The following is a 24,330-nucleotide window of genomic DNA, read 5'->3' on the forward strand; positions in this document are numbered from 1 at the left end:
GCCGCCGGCGGCGGGGCTGAGGCGCTGAGGCGGCCGTGGCGGCGGCGGCGGCGGCGGCGGCAGCGGCGGCCAAGCGGCCAGGTTGGCGGCCGGGGCTCCGGGCCGCGCGAGGCCACGGCCACGCCGCGCCGCTGCGCACAACCAACGAGGCAGAGCGCCGCCCGGCGCGAGACTGCGGCCGAAGCGTGGGGCGCGCGTGCGGAGGACCAGGCGCGGCGCGGCTGCGGCTGAGGTGAGGGCGGCGCGGGGCCGCGGCGGCTCGGGCGGGCGCGGGCTCCGGACCCCGCGGTGGCGGCGTTTATGTAAGCGCCGGGCAGGGACTGGTGGTGGGGCCGGAGCTGCGGGCCGTCCCGGGAGCGGAGGGCGCCCGCGGAGAAGCGAGGGTGCCGCGGCACCGCCTCGCACCCACCCTCCTGGGTCGCCCGTCTGCTCCGGCGCTCGGCTCCCGGAGGAAGCTGCGCCCGGGCGGCCCCGCGTCCCCTCCCGAGGGCGCCGAGTCCGCGTGGGATGCGCCGCGCTGCGCCGCGGGGAGGGCAGGTGCGCCGGGACGAGGCTGCGCCCTGGGGACCGAGACTGCGTTTTGGGGAGGGGACGGTGTGCCCTGGAGATCGGAGGCTGCGCTGGGGACGAGGCTGCGCCCGGGGACCAGAGGCTGCCCCGGGTACAAGGTTGCGCCGGGGAACGGGAGGCTGCGTTGGCAACAAGGCTGCGCCTGGGGACGGTAGGCTATGTCCCTGGGGAGACGCTCCGCCCGGCATGGGACGCTGCGCCGGGGGACGGCAGGCTGCGCCCGGGATGAGGCTGGGCCCGGGCAGGGGAGGCTGCCTTGGGAGGGGACGCTGTGCCACGGGAGTGGAGACTGCGTTGGGGACGAGTCTGCGCCCTGGACGGTCCTGCGTGTCCTTCCGAGGGCGCAGTGTCCGCGCGGGATGCTCTGCGCCGCGGGCGGCCCGGGCCAGGGAAGTTCCTGCGGGTGCCGGGCGTCTGCAGCGATCGGGAGCAATCTGGGGCAGTTGGGGGCCCGAGGTGACTTTTGACGTGTTCACATCAGAAGGAAAATTATTGCGTGGTGGATGGGTGCGAGGGAAGGTGTCAGATTGGGCTGTGGACGCTGAAACGTGTTGGAGTCCCGATTTACACGCTGGAAAACCTAACCTAAAACGTGTTCCTGTCCAGGTTTCTATGTCGGAGATCTGCACCGTGGTGTTTAGTTCCCAGTTAATATTTTTGGTCAGCAGGTTTGGGCTGTTACTTCTGATACAGGCATTTTACTTCCTTCTTACTAACCATTATTGCATTCCGTTCTCGAAGTATAACGAAAAGTGGCATGATATCAAACTTGTTTCTTTAACGTTTAACTCCATAATTAAGATGATAGAACCGTAGTTTTTTTAATTGAGAATACAAATATGTATTTAATCCTCTTTGTTTCCTCTTAAATTTTGCCGTATGTTTTATTGCTTCGAAAGGTGCCACCCAGAGCTGCATTTTCCAAAACGCTAGGTTGTCTTAAGAGCAGTTGTTTCTAGGAGATAGAAAAGCTAATTGTCTTTTGATGACCATCTTTTCCTTGGGGTTGAGACTGCTGTATCCTTTTTGCCTGCTGAGGGTTTCCCAGAGGGGAAAGGGAGAAGGAAGAAAGGATAAAAGCTTGGCTGATACAGTTCCTTCTTGGATAAGAGAATTAACTGTCTCTCATTGCGCGGTTCCTCCGGAGGACAGGGTCCAGTATGCATGGACAGCCACAACGGGGGCTCGGTAAGTATTTGATGAGACAGGCTGAGCTGGGTGCCTATATCTTGCCTGTGGTGGAGAGGATGAACTCACACAGACTCTGAAAGGAATGCATTGTCTGTGAGTGATGCCCTGTTAGATGTCTGAGGGTTCCTAAGACTGGGTATATCCCACTACATCTACATCACATTTGAAGCTGTAGTTGGAAAGGAAAAAAGGAGGCCCTCCTGCAGGGACAGGGGCTTAAAAATAATCGATCCAGCTCTGAGAAATTGATGACACATGTGTCTCTGGTGTGACGTGCTCATGCAGTTGTTACTGGGAGGCCAAGGGGGAAGGATTAGCTATGAAGTGATAACATCATCCACAAAAAACATCTTGGCTCAGAGGCTAATTTCACTTCCTCGTGAATTTATGTATTGTAAAACATTTGAATTCTTTTAGATTTTTGGAATAAGAATTTTTTTAACTTCTATTTGTCCAGTGAATGCATAAAACAAACTTAATCCATTTGACAAATACTTGTCTGTGGCCTGTTATGTGCTAGGCCTTCCCTGTTTTAGGCCCTAGGAGATACAGTACTTAACAAGATAGGTAGAGATCAAAAATGCTTCTGGCATAAAGCAGTACATTTGTATTGATAGATTTAAAAAGATAAGCAAGCACACAGTACCTACAGAAAGGTAAAGCCTCATTCCACTCCATCCCTGGGCACTTGGTTCAAAGGCTGCACCCAATTGTGTATTGTCCTAGCAGGAGTCAAAGTGTGTATTGTATATGTTTTAATATATGACAAACCTTGCTATAGTGCATATTCTTACACGTGGGTACAAGCAAAGCCTACTAATTAGTTATTATCAAAATTTCTTAGCTGTAAGTTTTACTTAAGAACTGGGTTTTATTCCCTTGAATGCTGTGATTAGCTCTGTGATCAAACAATATAATTCAAATAGGAGGTAGTTAACTTTGGAAAGAAATAGATGAAGTTACACATTTACCAGCCTATAAAAAAGTTTAGCAAAGTTATCAAGCTTAGTTTGAAACCAAAAAGCTCAGAGAGGTCCAATTTTATTAGAAAACTCAATGGTGGCCGGGCGCGGTGGCTCACGCCTGTAATCCCAGCACTTTGGGAGGCCGAGGCGGGTAGATCACGAGGTCAGGAGATCGAGACCATCCTTGCTAACACGGTGAAAACCCGTCTCTACTAAAAAAATATAAAAAATCAGCCGGGCATGGTGGTGGGCGCCTGTAGTCCCAGCTACTTGGGAGGCTGAGGCAGGAAAATGGCGTGAACCCAGGAGGCGGAGCTTGCAATGAGCTGAGACCGTGCCATTGCACTCCAGCCTGGGCAACAGAGCGAGACGCCGTCTAAAAAAAAAAAAAGAAAAGAAAAAGAAAACTCAGTGGTTTTCTGTGTCAACTTTCTAAAATAGGAATTTCTAAATCTGTAATTTGGTGTGATGGAAATGGTGTTAAAAAAAAACCCATATTATTTTGTATGTTCATAATATGTGAGGTAGGAAAAGCAAATGGGAAAATTAAAAATTGTCCAGTGAAATCATTAAGATTCCTTCCTTATTCCTTGAGTGACTTTTCTTTCCAAGTTGACAGCTTTTTATCTGGGGTGTGGACAGGGACAGCGCAGTAGCCCACAGAGGTCTTCGTGGCAGGGCTTACCGCACCTTCCATTTGCAGAGTTTTGCTTCATCCATAGCTTGACAGCTGTTGGGCTAGGGCCATTAATATCAAATTATCACAATTTTTTTTTTTTGGTAGTTTGATTAGTACTGCTTGCTGCACTTTTCCACCTGTATGCCTATAAGATGTCCTAGGCGTACACAAAGAAAAGTGACTTTGGTTTTAGGTTTAACGTCTTTGTGATGGAACAGGAAGGGGGATGAAAGTAACTCTGAGATACCTTGTATTTTTATTGGAAGTACAGTGAAATGGAAGCTCTACTTGCTTCTAGTTTGGTGATTTTGGAACCTGGTTCCATTTCATTTGCTTGTTCATCCAACAGGCATTCACCCATGCATCCTGGCCCAGGTACTGTTCTAGGTATTGGAGATTCAGGATGAGCCTGATGAGGAGAGTTCCTGCCCTCAAGCGGTTCATTTTCTTGGGAAGGAGGAGAGCAGTAAACAAGCATTTGGTGTCCTAACTGCTTCAAAGGGCAAATGAGGCAGGGTAGGTGAGAGAAGGTCAAATAGGTGGTGAGGATGGAGTGAGCTGGGCTGAGGTCACGGCAGCAGCAGCCTCTCAGGCACAGGGAACTCTCGGGTGAAAGTCCCTGAGCCTCCTTGTAGTATGGTGGTCACCTCAGGGAGGCCATTGCTGCCAGAGAGGCTGGGCGAGTGGTAGGAAGTGAGATGGGAGTGGAGGAGAGCTGCATCTTGGAGCACACAGGCTGTGGTAAGGAATTTAGATTTTAAGTTTGATGGGAAGCCTTAAGGGAGCCTTTCTTCCTTCCTTGCGAATGACATGATCTGATTTATCTTTAAAAAGTACCACTCTGGCTGTTGGGCTTACAATATGCCAGGCTGTTTTAAGAGCTTTACATATATTAATTCATTTATTCTTATGACAGTCCAAAAAGTAGGCATTATTATCATTATTCCCATGTTACAGGGGGGAATACCTAGGCACAGAGTGGTTAAGTGATTTACCCAAGGTCACACAGGAAGTGGCAATGGCAGGATGTACCCTTACCTCCTTACTGCAGCTTGCTTTTTGCACCTCCACTACTGCAGACTGGAGGAGGAATATCAGCAAGGAGATCAGTTAGACTTTTGTGAAAGCTGGGTGACTGTACCGGCACCTCAGACCAGGGCGGAAGTGGTGAGATCAGATTCAGCCTACTGAATTTCAGCATTTGTAAGATGCCATCATTTTTAAGTTGCATCATCATTTCTTATGCTGCTAACAAAGGGAAAATGTAGCCAACTAGATTGTGACACAATGCTTTCTTGTTACCCAGCATTCATTTATACTCATTGAAAGAGCTTAGACTAAGCATTGACTTTTAAAATCATATAATTCATGCACTTTCATAAAAAAGGAAAATACAAGTAAAATAAAGTAATTCTGAAATTTCTTCACATCTAGAATCTGATTCTTCCAACTCAGCTTTTGACTTGGCGTTGGTGCCAGGTATGAGATAGGGAAGTCTGGGAAGAGCCAGTGTTGGGATTTGAACATGTGGAGCTTGTGACTGGAAGGCAGCCCAGCTCAGCAGCTCCACTCAAGGGCCAGATCTGGAGGACGAGGGTTGGGTCATTGTGCAGCTACTTCCTAGATGATCTTGAGCAAGCAGTCTAATCTCTGTGCTTCAGTTTTCTCATCTATAAATTAGGAAGAATAAAAGCAACTTGTCAGGGTTGTTGAGTTGCTAATGTAAAGTACCTAAAATAGTACCTGACTAACAGTATTTAATGGGGCTTACTTTGCTTATTATTTTTATGATTAGTTATCTGAGTAGAGAAAGGTGAATATGGATGGAAATTCAAGGTCAGGTTCAAGAAGAGGTTGGGGCCAAATATGTAAATTTGGGAGTCATTTGCATATTGCTGATCTATGAGGCATACAGTATGGATACAGAGGAGCAGGAGATGAGGAATGGCCTGGGAGCTTTTGGCAAGCGGTCCACATTGGGAGGGAGGGTCTAGCAACGCCATTGAAAAGGACTCTGTTTGAAGAAGGAAGAAACTAGTGAGAGTCTAGTGGCCTGGAAACCAAGACACCGAGGGGTTCTTTTCTTCTTATTCTTCGTGGGCTGGAGAGTTTCCTATTGGCTTTGATAAGAGGTGGTTGTGAGTGACCTTGATAGGTTTGGAGTGGTGGGGAGAGGAAACAAATAGAGTAGAGGTGGGAACATCAGTGTAGACGACTCTCTAGAGGAGTTCTGTTAAAAGGGAAGAGTCATGGGATGGTGGCTGGAGGGGACATGGGTACAGGAAGTTTTTAGTTGTATTTTTAAATGAGAGCGATGATAGCATGTTATGAGCTAATAGGAATGATCCAGTAGAGGGAAACATTTATAATATGCCAGGAAAGAGGATAATGTTGGAGCCAAGTCCTTGAGAAGGTGAGAGGGAGGCAGGAAGAGCAGGGATGCTCAGCTCTAGAAGGGAGGCGGGACTTCAGGAGGGAGGCAGGACTTCTGCACGTGGGAGCCTGGACTCAGAAATATTCCTCAAGACATGCTGCCCTTTTGAAAGGAGGATAGGAAATAAATCATGGTTTTGTCCTCAGTCCTAAAAAGTTCGGAATCTCACCCTAGGACTCAGGATCCAGCTTCTTACCAGCTTGTGCTGAACATGCCATGGGGCGTACTTACGGAAAGATACATGTGGAAATGGAATTTTTTATTTATTTAAAAAATTCACTTTTCTCTAAAAGTATTGTTACCTGGAGGTTGGCACCTTTATTCACCAAATTCAGTACTCAGAGGACTAGAAGACTCGGTGCCTGATTTGTGCTTGATTTGCCTAGCTGGGAATTTCAGTTTTGCATTTAAGACGACTCCCTCACCAACCCTACCCCCAGAGGAAAGCAGGTATTGTTGCTTTGGGCCTGTTGCATGTATATGTTTATGTTCCACTGGGTCAGCAGCATTCAGTGAAACACAGTTGCCTGTTAACTTGGTAAAATATCTTAATTGCATGAGTTTTGATTTGTTTTTGTGATTATTTGATTTTTTCAGGTTTGGAGTTTCAGAACACCCATCTTCTCAGTAGTTCAGCCAATGCGATGAAATGTGAAGAAGCCTTCCCCAGCTTCCTTGCATTCTCTCCATCATCTGTGCAGTGGAGAGTAGTTCCCACTGCTGTGGAAACATTTTCCCTTTGCTCTTTTCTCTCAGGGCAGGCTTTCCTGAGTGCCTGCTCTGTGTGAGTCATCGTGGGAGGATGCGGTGGAGAAGGACAGGGAGGAGGTCTGTGCTTCTTTGAACTGACATTCTGGTGGAGAAACTAAACAGATCACAGAGGCAGACACCGTGCCTCACAACTACACACGGACCCGGCTTATGATGGTTCCAGTAACAATTTTTGACTTGACTGTGGTACCCATACAGTCATTCTGTTTTTCACTTTTGGCATAGCATTCAATAAATTGCATGCGATATTAAGTACTTTGTTATAAAATAGGCTTTGTATTAGATGATTTTGTTCAATTGTAGGCTAATGTGAGTGTTCTGAGCACCTTTTAGGTAGGCTAGGCTAAGCTTTGATGTTTGGTAGGGTAGGTGTATTGAATGCTTTTTCAGGTTAGGATGTCTTCAACTTGCGATGGGTTCATAGGATCGGAACTCCACCGTCAGTCAAGGAGCACCTGTGCTGTCTTTATTGGCATGACCGAGGAGACAGGGCTGAGGTAGATGGCATCAAGAGGGTGGCTCCTGGTGGAGGTATGATGTTCTGGGAAGGCCTCTCTGAGTGCGATGTGGTACGCTGAGGCCCAGAGGGAAAGCATGAGCTCATGTCAGGAGGGGGGACAACAGCCTTCTGGCTAGAAGGATAGCCTGCCAGAGAGCCTGCTTATTAGAGTGGCCAGGATAGGACCAGAACCATTGTCCAGTCAGGGGCTAGGAGGTGAGGCTGCAGAGACACAGGGGCCAGGTCCTGCAGACTCTCAAGAGTGCAACAGGAAGAATGGAGGCCTGGGTTGGCACTGTTGCCATGATTTAGCGGGGCAGAGGTGGCAGAACTGGAGAAAAGAGAGCAGGTGTGAATTCTTGGTTGTGGGCAATAGATCAGGTCTTGGAGACAAGGGAAGTGGAGGGACCAAGAAGGGCTCTTGGAGCTCTTTGGATGGTGATGATGTGATGATGCCACGTTCCAGAGGATCTCAGGTTAGGAGTCTTCAACTAGAGACCTCATTTTGTATTGGGTTCTGTTTGAGTCTGCAAAGCAGTTGTCATCTAATATGTGACTAGCAGAATATTTGTTTGTATAGATACCTCTCAACTTACGATGAGGTTCATAACTTAAATATATTGTCAGTTGAAAATGCATTTAATACACCTAACCTTCAAAATTCAAAGTACACTTTCTATTAAATATGTATCACTTTCACACCATCATAAAGTAAAAAAATCATAAGTCAGACTGTTGTAAGCCAGCGTCTGTCTGTACCTTCCCACGGCCTACAAAATTTGTAATGCATTGTTTGTAAAACACAGACACGTGCATTTAAACTTTTATTAGGTAGAACTGGCTCTTCTTCAGGGTCCTTGTAATTAAGTCAGTTATTCCTCTCATGACATTCTTGTAGGAGGTCTCATTACCCCTATTTATCAGATCAGAAAACTGATGCTAAGGGGCTCAGTGACTTCCTAGGAAAGCTGGATAATGTTTAACATTTATTAAGCTCTTACCATGTGTCAGACATGGTAAAGTGAGTTTAATCTAGTTTAATCCTCATGATGATCTTAGGATGTTGCTATTAAGGGTCACTGTCATCATCCCTTTTTACTGATAACACTGGCCTGGCTTACCTGAGTAGCCTCCTAACAGATCTCTTCTTCCACTTCTGGTCTCCTTCAGTCTGTTCTTGACCAGCAGTCGGATCTGAGCCTGTACATGGAAGACATCACGTCATTCTCCTGCTCAGAGTCCCCCTGCGGCCTTCTTTCCTGCTGTCCCTTCCTGCCACTCAGAGCCCTGGCTCCAGCTGTCTTGGGGCCTATAGCTAGCCCTCACTTCAGTGTTCATGCACCATTGTGTGCTGCGTGCCCTGCTCACTGTTCTGTTTATTTCTGCCATCTGTACCCACCACTACCTTCCTCCCCACACAGCCTGCCTGGCCAGAATGAAAGCCTCAGGAAGGCAGGGCTATTGCTCTGAATCTGTCCTGAGGGCTCGGAGCAATGCCTGGTAGATAGACACTTGTAAGCCTTTGCTGAAGGAGAGAATAACTTTAACTTACTTTTTCTGTTGGTAGTAAGTAGTAGAACCTGCATTAAGTTTATCTGCTTCTGAAAACGTATGCTTTTGCTGCCTCCCTACACTGCCCCCCCATCCTATTGTACTTGGTGAATCAGTCATATATTTATGCCCCATATGTCTGTGTTATCTCCAGATTTCCACACTTTTCTATGTAGAATAGAAACATTTATAAAACATTCAAAATTGTTATAAAACCATAAAGTTTGACATAGTAAATTATCTGTTGAAAACAGGGAGGCCACATCCTGGAAAAGTAGCTCTGTCCTGCCAGCATCATTTTAACCCCTTTTGGACAAGATACAGTTGAAATGCATTCTCTGAAATAATACTTATAACTACATCTTGACAGAAACAAGAATATTTCGAATAATTCTGGGAGGATTCAGGAAAAGGCAGCCAAATAAAATGAAAAAATACATTTGATTCAACTGTGGAGGCTTAAAGGAATTACACATCTTTTTTGTTTTTTTGCGACAGCGTCTTGCTTTGTTGCTCAGGCTAGAGTACAGTGGTACAATCATAGCTCACTGTAGCCACAACCTCCTGGGTTCAAGCGATCCTCCCGCCTCAGTCTCAGCCTCCCAGGTAGCTGGGGCTACAGGTGGATGCCACCACACCCGGCTAATTTTTGTATTTTTTGTAGAGACGGGGTTTTACCGTGTTGCCCAGGCTGGTCTCGAGCTCCTGGACTCAAGGGATCCAATTGCCTCGGCCTCCCAAAATGCTGGGATTACAGGCGGAGCCATTGCACCTGGCCAAAAAAGCATCTCTTATAAGCTGTTTTTGGTGAAGGAGCAAACAGGAAAGTGTCCCAGAATTTGGGAGATCAGGATTGTAATCCCAGCCCTGCTTCTGAACAGGATGGTGCATTCTCTTCATGCCTCTGCTGCAGGCTCCTTGGATGTAGAATGAGGGCAGTTGAATTGCTTGTTGCCGAGGTTCTCTCCATTTCTGGAAGACTATTGTAAGTCAGAGTCAAATAATCATTCATTCAGTTGTCCAATAAATACTCATCATAGAACCTATGTGTAGTCCTGTCTAATGGTAGGTGGTGCTACGTCACTTCCTGCCATGGCTGCCGAGGCTCACGCGAGGCTGGCACTTGGCAGAGAGTCCTGTCCCTTCTTTTGACTCAGTAACTGTGGAAAGAGGTGAGGTATAGGAAGGGAGGGCCTAGGCCTTAGGGGTTAAGCGGGCTTAGGAGGCAGGATTGAGAGAGGTGGAATGATGGATTCAGAGTCCAAGAGAAAACGTGAAACTCCAGGGGATTAGAATTGATCCCTTTCTCTGTTTCCTCAGTCTTAGGGGGACTAGACTGTGTTAGTTGTCTTGAATTAAATTGAGCAGGGGTTGTTTTTCACTTCTGTAAGTCCAGAGTTTATCATAAGCCACCAGAGGTAATTCAGTAGTAGTTAATATTTCATTAACCCTCACTTCTAAAATTACAAAGTTAGAAGTGGAGGTCTTTAACATATATATCAGTCAGGCTGGAGAGTAAGTTGGAAAGTTGCATTTTATTCCTGTGTGTTTACTTATGGCAGTGCACATAAGCCCAGTTTTGTTTCTTTTTCTTTGATTAGTAACAGTTGGGCACAAGGTGTCCAACCCACCCAGTGTTAAGTCACTTAGAGTGAGTTGATTTCCTTGAAAAAAGGAATCTTTTCAAGAATGTAAAGTGGCTTCTCGTAGTCTTCGTGAGGCTCTGGAGTCAGACACAATACTGGGTTACCCTGGGACCATGTGCAGTGAGCCCGGGCTTCTGGAGTCAGACACAGTACCTGGTTACCCTGGGATCATGTGCAGTGAGCCTGGGCTGCCGGATGCCGCTGGTGGGCCCTCTGCCAGCTGCTGCATCCCCAAGCCCTCTCTTGTGTCATTGTTTTCCCTTTTCAGGAATAGTTTCCACTAGGGACCTGCTCCCTCAAATTTCTATCATTTGAGGTGAGGTTTCGTGTTGGTTCATCTGACTGGCCGAGTGCACCCTGGCTGTGAGAACAGGAAATAGAATTCTGGCTTTTGTCTTAGGGATATCCCCAGGTAGAGAGAGGAGATTCAAAAGATGCTGGGGAGCTACAGACGTGACCTCTGACCTCTACATGAAGAATGGTGGAAAACACTTACTACTTAGTGTTAATCTACACATTTCACTTGGTTTAGACCTAAGCATAAATAGTGTGAAGTCGATTTAAACAGAGGTTACAGTTTCCAGAAACTTCAGCGCCGTGGCTGCAGTTAAACAGCAATGATTGGACTCTTTACGTCTACTCCATTCTCGATATGAATGAAAGTAGTCACATCAAATGCATATTTATTAGTCTTGGTCATTTTGAATTTGAGTCCTTTACATACTATGTATGTATGTACCCAGGAGCAGAGCAGGGTTAAAAGTGACATCTTCTAACTTCTACTCTGGAATTTTTTCCCTCTGCACTTTTTGTTGTCACGTAGTAGATGTTTTCACCCACATGCAGGTGAATGAGTGACATATTTATCTTGTTACATAGTGAAGCTTTCAATTCTTTAATTTTATCCCTCTAATGAAACTGTGAGGAATTGATTCTGTTGACACAGAAAAGGCTGGTGTCACATGAACCTAAAGGACGTCATTGAGCATGTGCCTCTCACGCAGAACTGACATAGAGCCTCCCGTGCAGCTCACCTTGAATTCTCCATGCACGAATCAGCCATAGGCACGTGTTATGTGTGGCACAGGCAAGAAGTGCCTGATAGATTTTAGTTCTGTTTATTGCTGGAAGCCCTTGCTGTAGGAAAAGGAAGGTTTTTTCCTTTCCTGGACAATGATTTTGAGCTACGGTGTAGAATGGAAAAGGCAGGCTTTGATTTGCCAGACACTGCTTGCTATGTGTGAAGCCGGGATAGGGCGGTGCTGTTGGACAGAAGACCTGCCCTGTGTGCCTTTTCACACTGCATTGAGAATTTGTCTAGATGATTTCCTGGGCTTATTGATTGTTGAAGGAAACAATGCAAATTGCAAGTTATGATCAAATAATGCTTTGAGTCTTCACCTTTTTAGAATGCTCTGGGAAAATACGGGGAGAAAATAAACCATAGGAAAGGCATTTTGAGGCGGTTTTGTTTTGTTTTAAACAGCTGCCATGAAATGCACCCTCTCTAAGAGGACAATTCAGTGATTTTCTGAATGTCTGAGTTGTGCAGACATCACCACTGTCTAGTTCTTGAACACTCCTGTCACCTCAAATGTTCCCTGTGCTTGTCTGCAGTTGATTCGCGCACCCAGCCCAGCCTCAGGCAACCGCTCAGGCAGCCTGCCTGCTGTTTCCACATGTGCCTTGCAGATATTTCATGGGAAGCAGCTCATGTCCTGTGTCATCGTTTGCATCAGGCTTTCACTTAACATGTTTTTCGGGTTCATCCGTGTGTTGTAGAACATATCAGTAATTTGTTCCTTTTAGTCGTATTGGCGTAGCGTGTTCGTTTATTCCACTCCAGCGATGGACTTTGGGTTGTTTCTGCATTCTGGCTATTATGAATCACGTGACTTTGAACATTAGCAAGCATGTCTGCGTGTGGATGTGTATTTTCATTTGTCATAGGTAGATTCCTAGGAGTTCGTAGGAGCTTCGAAATGGAGTTTAAGACAGAAGCCTTTGTTTGATACTGATAATGCTAGCAAGGGCCATTTATTTGGCTTGCTCTTGAAGTCTGTCTCTGTGATGTGCATTGTGCTTCTTGAATTGTATGAGCCTACTATAGGATGAAATATGGTTATAATGTCGAGCAGAAGCTATTAGCATTTCTTAAGCTGACCACCTGTGTTGTGCACACTATTAGGTCCTCAGCAGATGAGTTCTTACCGGGTGTTTGATGTTTTCCCCCCACTTATCAGAAGAGGAAGTCGGTGAAGTACGGTTGGGCATATTAAAACCACATTCAGCCTACAACACCACAGAAACACTTACCCTTTGACCCAGCAATTCTGCTTCTAGGAATCCTTCCAGAAGATAGACCTCCAACAATGTGAAAATACATTCGGAATAACCTAAATATCCATATGCAGGAGAGGGTTGAGTAAACTCTAGTACAGCCACACAACCACATCCACTGTTGAGGATGACCTCTGTGAATTGGTTTGAGGTGGTTTCCAGGGCACGTGGATGTGAATGAGGCAAGTACCAAAGAACATCTAAATGCTGCCCTTGATGTGAGAAGAAGGGGATGCAGGAAGACACACGCTCCCTGCACACTTGTGCAGAGGAGATACAGGAGGGCAGAGCCAGAAACAAAAGAGATGGTGACTGCAGAGGGCCAGGGGACGGAGGAGGAGTGGGTGCCAGGTCATAGGTGGGGTGCAGAGGGCGAGGGGGCAGGGAAGTGGAGTGGGTGCCAGGTCATAGGTGGGGTGCAGTGCTGCTCTCAGTACACCTTTTAGTGTGGCCCAGCTCTTGAAACCACAGCAATACTTCATATACTCCAAAGTAAAATAGATGGTTAATATCAGCCAGGATGTGGGGGACCCAAAATGAAATATAAGCGGAAAACACACATCTCACTGTAGTACAAAGCGGCAGGGCCACAGCAAAGGGGGTGGAAAGGAAAGTGTTAACCTTATTTGGGAAAATGATAATGTTGACTGGATTCTGTGAGGCTGAAGAGAACTGTACAAAATAGTAGTAAATTTTTTTCTCAGTGTTAATGGTGAGCAATGTGAAACGACTTTATGTGTATGTGGGGATTGAACAAATAAGCAGAATCGTAGTGGATAATGAGAGCCAGGTTTCTCACTGTCCCAGGAAGAAGTTACAAATAGCAAAAGGAAGATGGCAGAGGGAGGCCGTGCTGTTGGATTGGGATAGGTGTCAGTGTGACTCTGTGGTCTTTAATAGATGCATGTACAGCACAGGAGTAAACATAGGTGTACGCGTTACATGCATGGGTTAGTGATACACCTACATATGCATCTCCTAGCCTTGTCCGTTGGGAAGACCTAGAAGCAATGACCTCCAGCAACAGGGAGCACACCTAAATATCAGTTGCTGATAAAAATAAGCAGGGCTCCTTGCAGAAGATGAGTCTGGAACCTCTGATGATGCTGGAAATAAGGAAGTGGCCAAAATGGATGGGGTGTGTCAGAGGGCACATAAGCAACCTGGAGGAGCCCCATGGCCAAAGCGGGTCAATTTGAGCAAGGAAATGAGTAATGATAGTATAGGTGTATAATCTATAAAACAAAGTCAGTATCACTACTGATACTTCTTATATTGATATAAGAAGAAATTGAAAAAATAAGGAGAAGGGACATCTCTTCCTGACAGAAACATTCCAATTAATTGGTGTAGGAGCAGTGAGAAAATAGAAAATCGCCTTCAGGCGGCACTATGGAAATAGTTACTTCAGGTGAGTTCCGCGGGAGGATGCTGATTAGTGGGCCAGAGTTTGGAGAGAAACAGGATATTTGCCTAGTCTCGAAGTATCTCTTCCTCAAGTTATTTATTTATTAAAAAGGGAAAAATAGTAACTTTAGAATGGAGGAAGCCAGCAGACACCACGTCACCTGGGCGATCAAGATCAGCATCATCTGATGAGACAAGTTGCATCATATGCCGCCCCACACCACATGGCATGTGCTCTGTCAGGGACTCCTGCCACAAATGCACAATCACAGTCTAGTCATGGAGAAATGTCAGACGCTCCAGTAGAGGGACGTCCTGCAAAATACCTCACCTCATCAGTGTTCCTCAGAAGTGTCCAGGTCATGAACACTGGAAACACCGAGGATTGGTCTAAGCTTAGAGACCTGATGACTAACTGTGGCCTGTGATTCTGGGCAGAATCCTGGAACAGAAGCCGGTATTGGTGGAGAAACCACCGAAATTCAGATGAGGTCTGTGGTGTAGCCAATTGTATTGTGCCAGTGTTTATTTTCTGATTTCGATATATCCTTCTCCCAGCTCACAACATACAGGTCTGTGATTGATACATACTTCTCCTCATGCTCACAACTTACAAATCTATGATTTTAGAGGAAGCTGGGAGAAGGACATAGGGGAATTATCTGTACTATTTTTCAGCCTTCCCATAAGCCTAAAATTTCAACATAAAAAGTTGAAAAAGAAACCCATGGCAGAATATGATGGGAGAATGGCAGAAATGGCAGGACCAGCCCCTGTCTCTGTTTCTTCCCATGTGAAGCTGTTTACCTGGTTTATCTTGGTCTTTGGATTTGGTCGATTTTTTTTTTCTAAAAAGAAATTTTAAATATAGTCAAATTTATCAGTTTTTTTCCTTTATGGCTTTTGGGTTTTGAATCCTAAGAATACTTTCCCTACTACAATACTCATATTTTTCTTTAATTTCTTCTAATAGTTTTATATTTTGTTTTTCACATTTAGCATATTGATCTATATGAAATTTGTTTTTGTACAGTTTGAAGTTGGGATATTTTTTCAATTGGCTAATCATTTGCCTTTGTCATTGAGTAGTCTGCCCTTTGCCCAGTTATCAGAAATATCACCTTTATCACTACTAAATGTTTTCTTTCAATGATATTTCAAATTGCTTATTATTCTTGTGTGATAAAGTGATTGGTTTTTGTATGTTGTGTCCACAGCTTGTCATTTGTGTCTCATGTTTTCTAGATGGAGGATCCTTTTGGGAACATGCGTCTTCCTTTCTAAGCTTTGTACTTCCCCTGTATTAATTGGCTAGGACTTCTGGTACTGTGCTGAGTGTAGTGTTTGGATCATAGTGATGGCTAGCAGGCTGCATCTCGTTGTTGTCTTTGACGTGAATGCTTCCAGTATTTCATCCTTAAGTGTGACATTACTCTAGTTGTTTTGTACATACCCTTTATCTTGTCTAGCATGTTACCTTCTCTTCCTGGTTTGTCCAAAATAATCTTTATCATGAGTGGCAGTAGAATTTTACCATATGTGCGTCTGTTGAAATGATCACGTGGTTTTCCCTCCAGTCTGTTAATATAGCAAATTTCATTAATAGATTTCCTGATATTAAACATTCCTGCATTCTGGGGAAAATCCTGTTTTTAACACAGTGCAAAATTAAAATTGCTATTTATTTTAATACCTTCTATTTTTTCAAAATGAGTCTCTCCCCAGCCCTACCCCTAGTCTTTTCATTTTTTTCATGTAGTTTACATGCTGTAGTAGCTACATAGTGGTATAAGTGCTTAACACCTGGCTTTTGGTGGGAAGGAGGAGTGGGAGTGTATGGAAACCCCTGATTTGTAGCATTTGCCAATTTCCAAGTTATAAATGTCCCTACCGTGCCCTATTTCAAGCTACCGATGAGCTGTCAACTGGTTTACAAAATTCCTGAAAATGTGACAGTCTTCTCTCATGAACAGGTATAAGTATACCAGTGGGGCCTGAGTGTGCAGCCTGGTGACTCTCATATCTGTGTGCACTCACACAACCATCACTGGGATCAACCCGGAGGCTTCCTGGTACCTGTGCAGCTCAGCACTCCTACCCTCCCCAGGAGGACCCCGGTTCTGACCTCTCTCCACCTTTGTTCTCACTTGGGGATTGAATACCTTGTTTATTTTCACGTCATCCTTGTTTTCTCTTCTGTGCACATGCAGCTCTACGTTTTCCCCCCAAGAACTGCCTTGGCCACCTCATTTGTAGATAGCGAAATGCAGGGTTTGTAATGATTTTTATTGAAAAATTGAGCATCTGATTATTATTGTGGCACTGGCTTTATTAAACAATGTAGGTTCTGTGATAACCTTTCTTAAATGTTGGGCATTGCTGCCATGTTATATTCATGAAGTTCATCAACTTCATATAAACTGACATTTTTCATTCATGTGTTTATGCAGTCATTGAATAAATATTTTTTGAGCACTTTGGATACCAAAGGTTTAGCAGTGAATGAAATAACTCAGTCCCTTTCTTCACAGAGCATATGTTCTGCTATGTCTTTAAGTCACGTGTTTTTTCTATTTGACCGTCCTTGCCAATTTTCCCCTAACTCAGACATCCACTTGTCTTTGCCCCTGGTATTATCTTAAATCAACTCTAAATCAATCCGATTTCTTCCACTGCTTCAATGCTAGTTGACGTTTGGCTTAACTGCTTATATAATTATTTCTGCTTTTATTGAATTCTTATGATGAAAAAACAGAAGACTTGAATCTGATGATTTTTACTTTAGAAAGGTTAATGATGAAAGTGTTGTAATACTACAGTTTGGTGAAATGGCACTTTTTGTGTTGTGTGAACTGTCATCACTTAATGAGGAGCAGGAGATCAGCTTACAGTTTTCTGCTATAGTTCTGGACATCATGAGACCTTATTCCCCACCAGCATGATCTCTGTCTATGGCTCAGAGGGAGAGCAATAGGGATATGGGGTGCTATTCACAGCCTTGCCTGGGTGACTGTGTCTTCTGGCAGCTTAGTGGCTCCCAGGGGCAGGATCCTGGTCACCAGCATCCTACAGCATTGCCACATGTTTGCTCATGCTCTGGTGTCCTGTGGAGTAGAGCTCCTTGTTCTCCTGTGGACCACAGTCCAGGGAGAGTGGGGGTTTCCCTGTAGGAGGAGGAGCTGGAAGACTCCAGATCGAGTTTAACCGTGGGCTAGGCTGCGAAATTTGGATGCAGGCCAGTGGACCTCAGAAATCCATCTGTTCATCTTTCTGCTAAACTGATTTGGATTTCTGCTTTTTTAATCCTTTGCAAAATTAATTTGTCTTTAATATGAAAATCAGTGTTTTATTTTTAGTAAGAGAAAATAATTCTATTTTATTTATTTGGAACAATTTAAAAGACCCTAGAGATCAACATCCTTCCTCTTTCATTTCCTAGAGGAGGGTGTAGAGGAGCAGAGTGTGTGACAGGCACAGTGGGACTGACCTTTGCTTCTGGGCCTGGATTACCATGTCTGGAGAGTGATGCTTTGGAGGAAGTATGGGTCACTTCGCTCCTGGGCCGTCGGTTCAGAAGGTGCAGCCTTGCCCGGAGCTGAGGTCCAGTGCTAGCAGCACATTCCCTTTCCTTGCCCTGAGCCTGCATGGCAGCCTTCTTCATCAACTGGAATCTCTGTTGAGGATGGAGAAAAATCTGTGGTCCTTTTGTTTACTGGGTGACTTTCTGACCTCTCTCTCTTCTCATTCTCTCTACTGCATTACAACTGTTTGATGAGAGAGATTTTAAAAATGAACATAAACAATTTTTATGGAAATATCTGTTATCTATTTTTTTTATATAGTTATACCATTGGAATTTACTCTTACCTTCAGGTAACAGTTGTGAGGACCAAATCTTAATCCTGGTAGGTGACCTTTAAATCTTAGAATCAGGAATTCGGCTTTAGTCAAAAGTTAACTTTTTCCTTATTATTGTTCTCCTGTTGGATTTTTAAAAATGGATACATTCTATTTATTGGTATTTACAAGTCACTTGACTAGACTGATACTAATAGTATGACACAGGAAAAACAAAAACATCTTTCTGTAAATTTTGAAGTAATGAACAATATTAGGGATTATTCCAAAACAGAGCAGACAAGGCAGAGGAAAACCAGTCAAGCTCTTTATAGCTTAAATCTAACCCTTTACCTGAATAATAATTTAAAAAACTATTTTATAAATCAAGCCTCCCATTCCTGTAAAATAGGAGTAATTCATTATCACACATTTTTGTACCTTTAATTTTTTTTTTTCTTGATGGAGCCCAAGTCTTAAAGATGTCAAAACTAGTATCATGTTCCATTTTCTAAAGTCGAGGCTATCTCAGTCCCATTTCTATAGCCAACAGGGTAATCTGTTACTAGGCCCTGAAACCCTTCTGATGAGTCTCAGCTTATACCCCACCCCACCCCCAAATATTCACACAATAGGCACAGTGAAAACCAGGAAATTAGTCTCTGAAATAAGCAGCCTCCCCAGGAAGGAAGCAGCATGGCCACTGCCCATTCTGTGCCTGGACCTCGCCCCACCGGCACTTGGCTTCAGGAACTGGACTGATCCAGGCACTTTGCTGGGGTGCACTTTGGCTTTTCTCACCAGTTCCCAGGGCAGCCTCGGGTAGGAGTCTCGGGTAGGAGAGTGTTGGAGGCCCTAGATCTGGGGCTACAGGGACTTTTCTCACAACTCCAGGCGAGGGCACACCGGGCTTGGCTCTTCTAGGTCTGGCGACTGCTCCCATTGGCAGGTTTCCACAGGCCTCTGCCTGACGTCCTTGACAAGAGGAAGAGAGGACCCGGCTTTCTGTGGGTGCCGAGCCCTCTGGGCCACACAGCTGCTGTTCTCTGACTTGTGGGTTTTTCTGCCGCCTCTTGCGTTTCATGCTGTGACTCTGGAACTAGGTCTTACCCTGTTTGGAGTGAAGGTTCGGGGTGTTGGGAAGTTCTGTCCTCTTCTCTCAGGAAGAGGCCCTTTGACTGTGTGCCCGGAGGAGGCATGGGTGCATCTTTTCTCCAGGGGGCTCCTCACCAGGGGTATGGGGAGACTGTGCTGCAGCCTCAGGAATGTCAGGGTGAAGAGGCCCTGGAGGCTGATGCTTCCGGCCAAGGGCTTCTTCTGGATTTTCAGATAAAGTCCCAGAACAGAATTACTTTATGTTTTAATTTCAGGCAAATGTCTCTCATCTGCCCTTTTAAGTACATTAGGATTGGGTTTTTCGACCCTGCACAGCACATGGGGGCTCCTCAGAGAAGTGTCTGAAAAAATAAAATTAAATAACTCGCTTTTTAGCACTTCGTTTTTACTGGTGATTTGTTAGTCATTGATTGAGGTGATTGTGATTGATCCAATTATTTGTCTGCCCATCCTGATTATAACTTTTTTTATTTACAGGATTTTAAAAGATAGTTTCTTGATCTTAATGTTATATTTAATGTTCTCTTTCATAAGATGGTTTTTTGATGACTTTGTGTTTAAAAAGTGAGGGTCTTTTGAGAAATAGAATATATCAAATTATTTGTTCAGAAACATTCAAAAGCATTTTTTCCAACTCTGCAAGCAGTTGTCTGTTAAAGCAATTAGCGTGTACCCAATTAGAGCTCTGTTCAAGATCCCTCACTGATAACCTCTGTGAGGCTGTTGGTCCGTGTCTTTATCAAGCAGTAGTGTGGCTTCCCAGGTACTGTCAGCTCATTTTGGACCCAATACTAGTTTATTGCCTGAAATTACCTTTAAACTGGAAAATCTTCAAGTAAAATTTTTGAGAGTTTTTGATTAATCCCCTAGGATACTTTTGAATGATAGGTTTTGGGGAGATACATTTGGTTGTTTTGGCACCACTACCATCAGCCTCACTCACGTGCTGCCAGGCGCCCCGCCAGATCAGGGAACATCCTCTGTACATGGAAGCAGCCCCGAGCACTATGTCTGCTTGTGTTTCTGCTCTCAAGGTTTCTACGGCCCTGCACGTGGGCCCTGCTGAGGCCCCAGACTGCTTCCTCACACAGCTGACCTGGTGGGCTTCCTGTCCACACAGCTGCCCTTCCTGTCCTCCCATCCAACCTCTCGCATCATGTTGAGGGGAGAGAGGGGGGCAAATGAGACATGGTCCTTGCTTTCATGGAAATTTCTAGTGATGCAGATGTCTGTATATCAAGTACTCACACAAGCAGATGTAAAGTCATAACTGTGATGAAGGAAGACCAATTGAGGACCTCCATCAGCCGAGGGGCCTGGACGCTCACTGAGAGGCGAGGTTTGCACTCAGTCTCCTTGCCCAAAGCTGGCAGCCTCATTCTGCTGCCCATGTGCTGGGCACCTTCTCCACTATCACGACTTCCTTGACATTTCAGTCTGTTCTGTTCAAGTTTTGGCCTTCCATCCCTCTGAAATGGGTCTTGCTAGTCACTAATGATCTGTCTCTTGTTAAGGTCAGTGGCCTGTATTTCGTCCTGGTCTCAATCAGTGTCTCAACAGGACTGTACAGAACTAGCCAACCTCTTGGATTCCGTGGGCAGTGCCACCCTGGCATCCTTCTGGCTCAGTCTTCTGTGCAGGTCCCCCAGTCACCAGGAGCCCTGCAGGTGCAGCCTACCTGCCCCCAGCCCAGGCTGCGCTCCCTGCTTGCTCTGCGTGTGATGCTCCGGCCTTTGCCGTGAGCTCTGACACAGTGCAGCACAGACCTGCTTGAGCTCTGGATCCCCTCCCCAGGCTCCTGTCCATCCTGCCCCCTTTCAGCTTCCTGCAGTGACCATTGCCTGGAACTCAACCCAGTGTTTTTTCTCTGCCCCCTTTTTCTGTTAGCTCTTCCCCCAGTGGTGTGGGGCTGGGACAGGGGCCTCACATTGTCGTCCACGTTTCCCGAGGCTTCTGTCTCTCCATCCCGCTGTTTCAGGGTTCTGCATCCTGCTGTTTCAGGGTTCTGCATCCCGCTGTTTCAGGGTTCTGCATCCCGCTGTTTCAGGGTGCACGTTTCCTTCTCGGGCTTGGCTCCTTGGGTCATGTCTCCAGCCTGACGTTCCAGCTGAGAGGTGGTGAGGCAGGAAGGGGTGTCTCTGCATCAGGAAAGCGATAAGGAGTTCAGGAAACCCAGTGTCTCTCATTGGCTGGAAGAGTATTACACGGCTACCTCTGGTTGCCCAGATGCCTGGGGCAGGGTCTGTGCTCGAGAAAATAAGGCTCTGTGAGTAAGGGTCTCCCACAGCCAGATCAACAAGGAGCTGTAGGCTGTAAGTCCTGGTTCCTGACTGAGGGAGGCCTAAAAAGTGGGGCTGTTGGGGCTTTATATTTAGCACCCACTTTTTACCCTCTCAAATTCCAGACCAGTTGAGAGAGCCGCACACACTGTAGATAGGCAAGTGGAGATCAGATACAGGCTCTGTTTTAGATAAAAGCAACTGGAGAAAGTGGCTGACTGGCCAAGCGGGTTTGCTAATCCTTTATCCCAAATTAGACAAACTTCCCACCTAGTAACGAGCATGGCTGGGGGCAAGCCCCTTCCACGTGGCAGGAGAAGAAACCCTAGCACTTTGGTGTGGGTGCGCCTAGCCCAAGAGGAGAGGAGGACCGGCTGGGCTAAGCAGCCCATTTCCTCCTTCTAGATGCCTCCTTCTGCAGGAAAGAGTGCGTGAGTTGGATTCTGTCCACAGGGAACAGAAGCGCAAGGGACAAGTGCCCCCTCTGCTCTGAGGAAGGGTTTTGCATATCTCCTGTTGGAAGTCTGGAAGCTGGGCAGTCTCGCTCCCTGCACCAGCTGTGCCGGCCCTGCCTGTCTTCCTGCAGGTCTGGGCTGGCTGCTGTGGGCCTGTGTCCTCAACACTGCCCTGCCCTGAGGCTGTTGGAGGGACAGCCCCAGTGCTCCCCCTTCATCATCCACTCTCCTTTCCCTTTAGTGTTTCTATCTCTGGATTTGTTTCTGGTGAGCCTTCCCTCCAGAAGGAACTGCTCTTGTCCCCATGTACTTCCTCGAGGCCTCCCTGGTCGTTCCTAGGGGCGATCATACTATAGAAAGAACCCATCATTGTCACCCAGAAGTGCTCCTGAGAGATGAGGGAACCTCTGGGGAAGCCAGCTTGGGCTTCGGGAGGAATTTTCTCCTCTCTTTATTTTTATTTTATTTTTTTGAGACAGAGTCTGTCTCTGTCGCCCAGGCGGTGCAGTGGCACTGCCAGCTCTGCCTCCCGGGTTCACACCATTCTCCTGCCTCAGCCTCCTGAGTAGCTGGAACCACAGGCGCCTGCCACCACGCCCGGCTAATTTTTTGTATTTTTAGTAGAGACGGGGTTTCACCGTGTTAGTCAGGATGGTCTCGATCTCCTGACCTTGTGATCCACCCACCTTGGCCTCCCAAAGTGCTAGGATTACAGGTGTGAGCCACTGCGCCCAGCCTTTCTCCTCTTTTTAAATGTTCTCAAGTAGCTTCCTCTTCAAGTCCGGTTTCTTTTTCTTGTTTTCTGCTGGGAACTAGATGTAGTTCCCCTCCTTCCTCAGCAGCACCCTTTAGGTACGAGATGGGTGGGGTTGGCCCTTTCCATTCTTTAAGGAGAGTATTTTCCACTGTGAGATGGTCACATACCTTCTCTTTGGTAACAGGACAAAAGAGCAAATGCTGGAAAAACTAAGCTTATGAGCTTTGGGGAAGCCTGGTGTGCAAATGAGGGAGGCTAACATGATTTTCGGGCTACTGGATTGGTGCTCACTCCCAATTTGAAAACTAGTCAGGAGATACCGAGGCCCTGTGTGATGTGGTACAAAGTATAAGGCGTTGGCCATGGTAGAGAATCATGATTTTTTTTTTTTTTTCTGGAGGTGGGAAGCCATTGTGGTTGGGGGCATGAACTCAGAGTTGTGCCGTGGAAGGGTCCCTGTGGCAGGAGAACAGGTGGAGAGCAGACGCCGAGGGGCCGCTGTCCAGGCAGGAGTGATGGAGCATGGCTGGTGGGGACTTCAGACACATGTGCAAGGTTCTGAGGATGCCTGGGTGCTGGCCATGTGGCAAGGTGGAAGGCAGTGCCTATGACTGGACAGCTGGGAGGGAGCCCACTGTGGTGATGGGGAGGGTAGACTAGCAGGTCTGTTTGGGTATGCTGACTTGGGGGCACTCAAGGGGAGCTGTCAGGGAGGCCATTGGGTGGAAGCAATTCCAGAGACAAACCGCTGCTCCCTAAAGGAAAAGGAGAGTGCCTTTGCCTTTCAACCTGAGCTCCATGTGGTCCTCTGGCCCAGCCTGCTAGGCAGCCTCGCCCTGCTCCCCACTGATGTCACACAGGTGTCACAAAATGAACATCTGAAACCAGAGCTTCATTTTCCTAAATTTCCTAGCCTTTCTCCTTACAGTGAACGTCACCAACACCCACCCAGCTGCTGGAAACCTGGCAGTCATCCTAGCCACCTCGCTTTCCCTCACCGTCACACCCAGTCCCCTCAAACATTTGTGCCTGCTGTCCCTGCGTTCGCTTCCCACCCGGGTGCTTGCCTTTCCACGTCTCCCTGCTGTCCAGCAGCTGGCAAGTCATTCCTGCCCTGTGCTTGCAGGCTCCACGGACCCACCAGGGCATCTGGAATACAACTGTGACTTCCTCCTCACCCCACGGCTGTGCTTGACCCGGCTCCCATCTGTCTCCAGATCCCTTGGAGCACTCTCCCAGGTCTGCTGCAGGCCCATGGCCTCCTCCCTTGGACCACTCTCCCCGTCTCTGTCTAGGGGCTGCTCACAGCTTCCTAGAAGTTTCTTGCCTGGGCTTTGCTTATTCCCAGCTGGTGGCTTTCCATCTGTGCTCTTCCTCTGCTGACGGCCCCTTCTGCCCCAGCTCATTATATGACCGTTGTCTCCCATCCCGTCCTGACCTGCCTGTTTATGGAGGCATCCTCTAGGTTCTCAGTGGAGGGTGCCTGGCCCCTGGAACAAAACTGTTGAGTTTGAATCATCCCCACCCTGCCTCTTCCTAGCTGCAGTGCTGGGCCTCAGTTTCCCTATGTGCAAAATGGGGACACTCAAACCTGCCTCATTCCCGTGAGGATTACATGATTAGGTAAAGTGTTCGTGGCAGTGTGGGGGATGGCGAGTGCTAGGCAGGAGCTGGAGGCTGTTCTCTTTGGGCTATTTGCACACATATGCTCTTAGCCTCCTTTCGAGCACTTTCCTCAGCCTTCAATCTTGTGTATATTTGTGTGTGTTTCTCTTTTAGGAGAGAGACTTCTCTGGCATTGACTGGACAACTGTCAGAGCTTATCCTTGACCT

The 24,330-nt window shown here is 46.6% G+C and overlaps 1 protein-coding gene across 11 annotated transcripts in view, besides 1 other annotated feature; it reads left to right on the forward strand.

Annotated features, from left to right (window-relative positions):
* The window catches only part of ADARB1 (adenosine deaminase RNA specific B1), a 151,986-nt gene continuing 127,672 nt past the window's right edge, over nucleotides 17-24,330 (forward strand). For 8 of the 11 annotated variants that reach the window (NR_073200.2, NR_027674.2, NR_144483.2 and 5 more), the window contains exon 1: nucleotides 19-232. The gene's annotated coding sequence lies outside the window, so the exon portion shown is untranslated. Of the gene's footprint in view, nucleotides 233-489; nucleotides 538-24,330 lie in introns of those variants that run through there. The other 3 variants (NR_027673.1, XM_017028251.2, NM_001346688.2) reach the window with 2 other exon arrangements.
* Nucleotides 18,821-19,321: an enhancer, noted in NCBI's record as "H3K4me1 hESC enhancer chr21:46513297-46513797 (GRCh37/hg19 assembly coordinates)". NCBI's record gives its function as "activates a minimal SCP1, AML or CMV promoter by ChIP-STARR-seq in primed H9 embryonic stem cells {active_cell/tissue: H9 hESC(primed)}" and the evidence as "EXISTENCE:reporter gene assay evidence [ECO:0000049][PMID:30033119]".

Source organism: Homo sapiens, chromosome 21, assembly GCF_000001405.40.
Source record: "Homo sapiens chromosome 21, GRCh38.p14 Primary Assembly".
Taxonomy (NCBI): domain Eukaryota; kingdom Metazoa; phylum Chordata; class Mammalia; order Primates; family Hominidae; genus Homo; species Homo sapiens.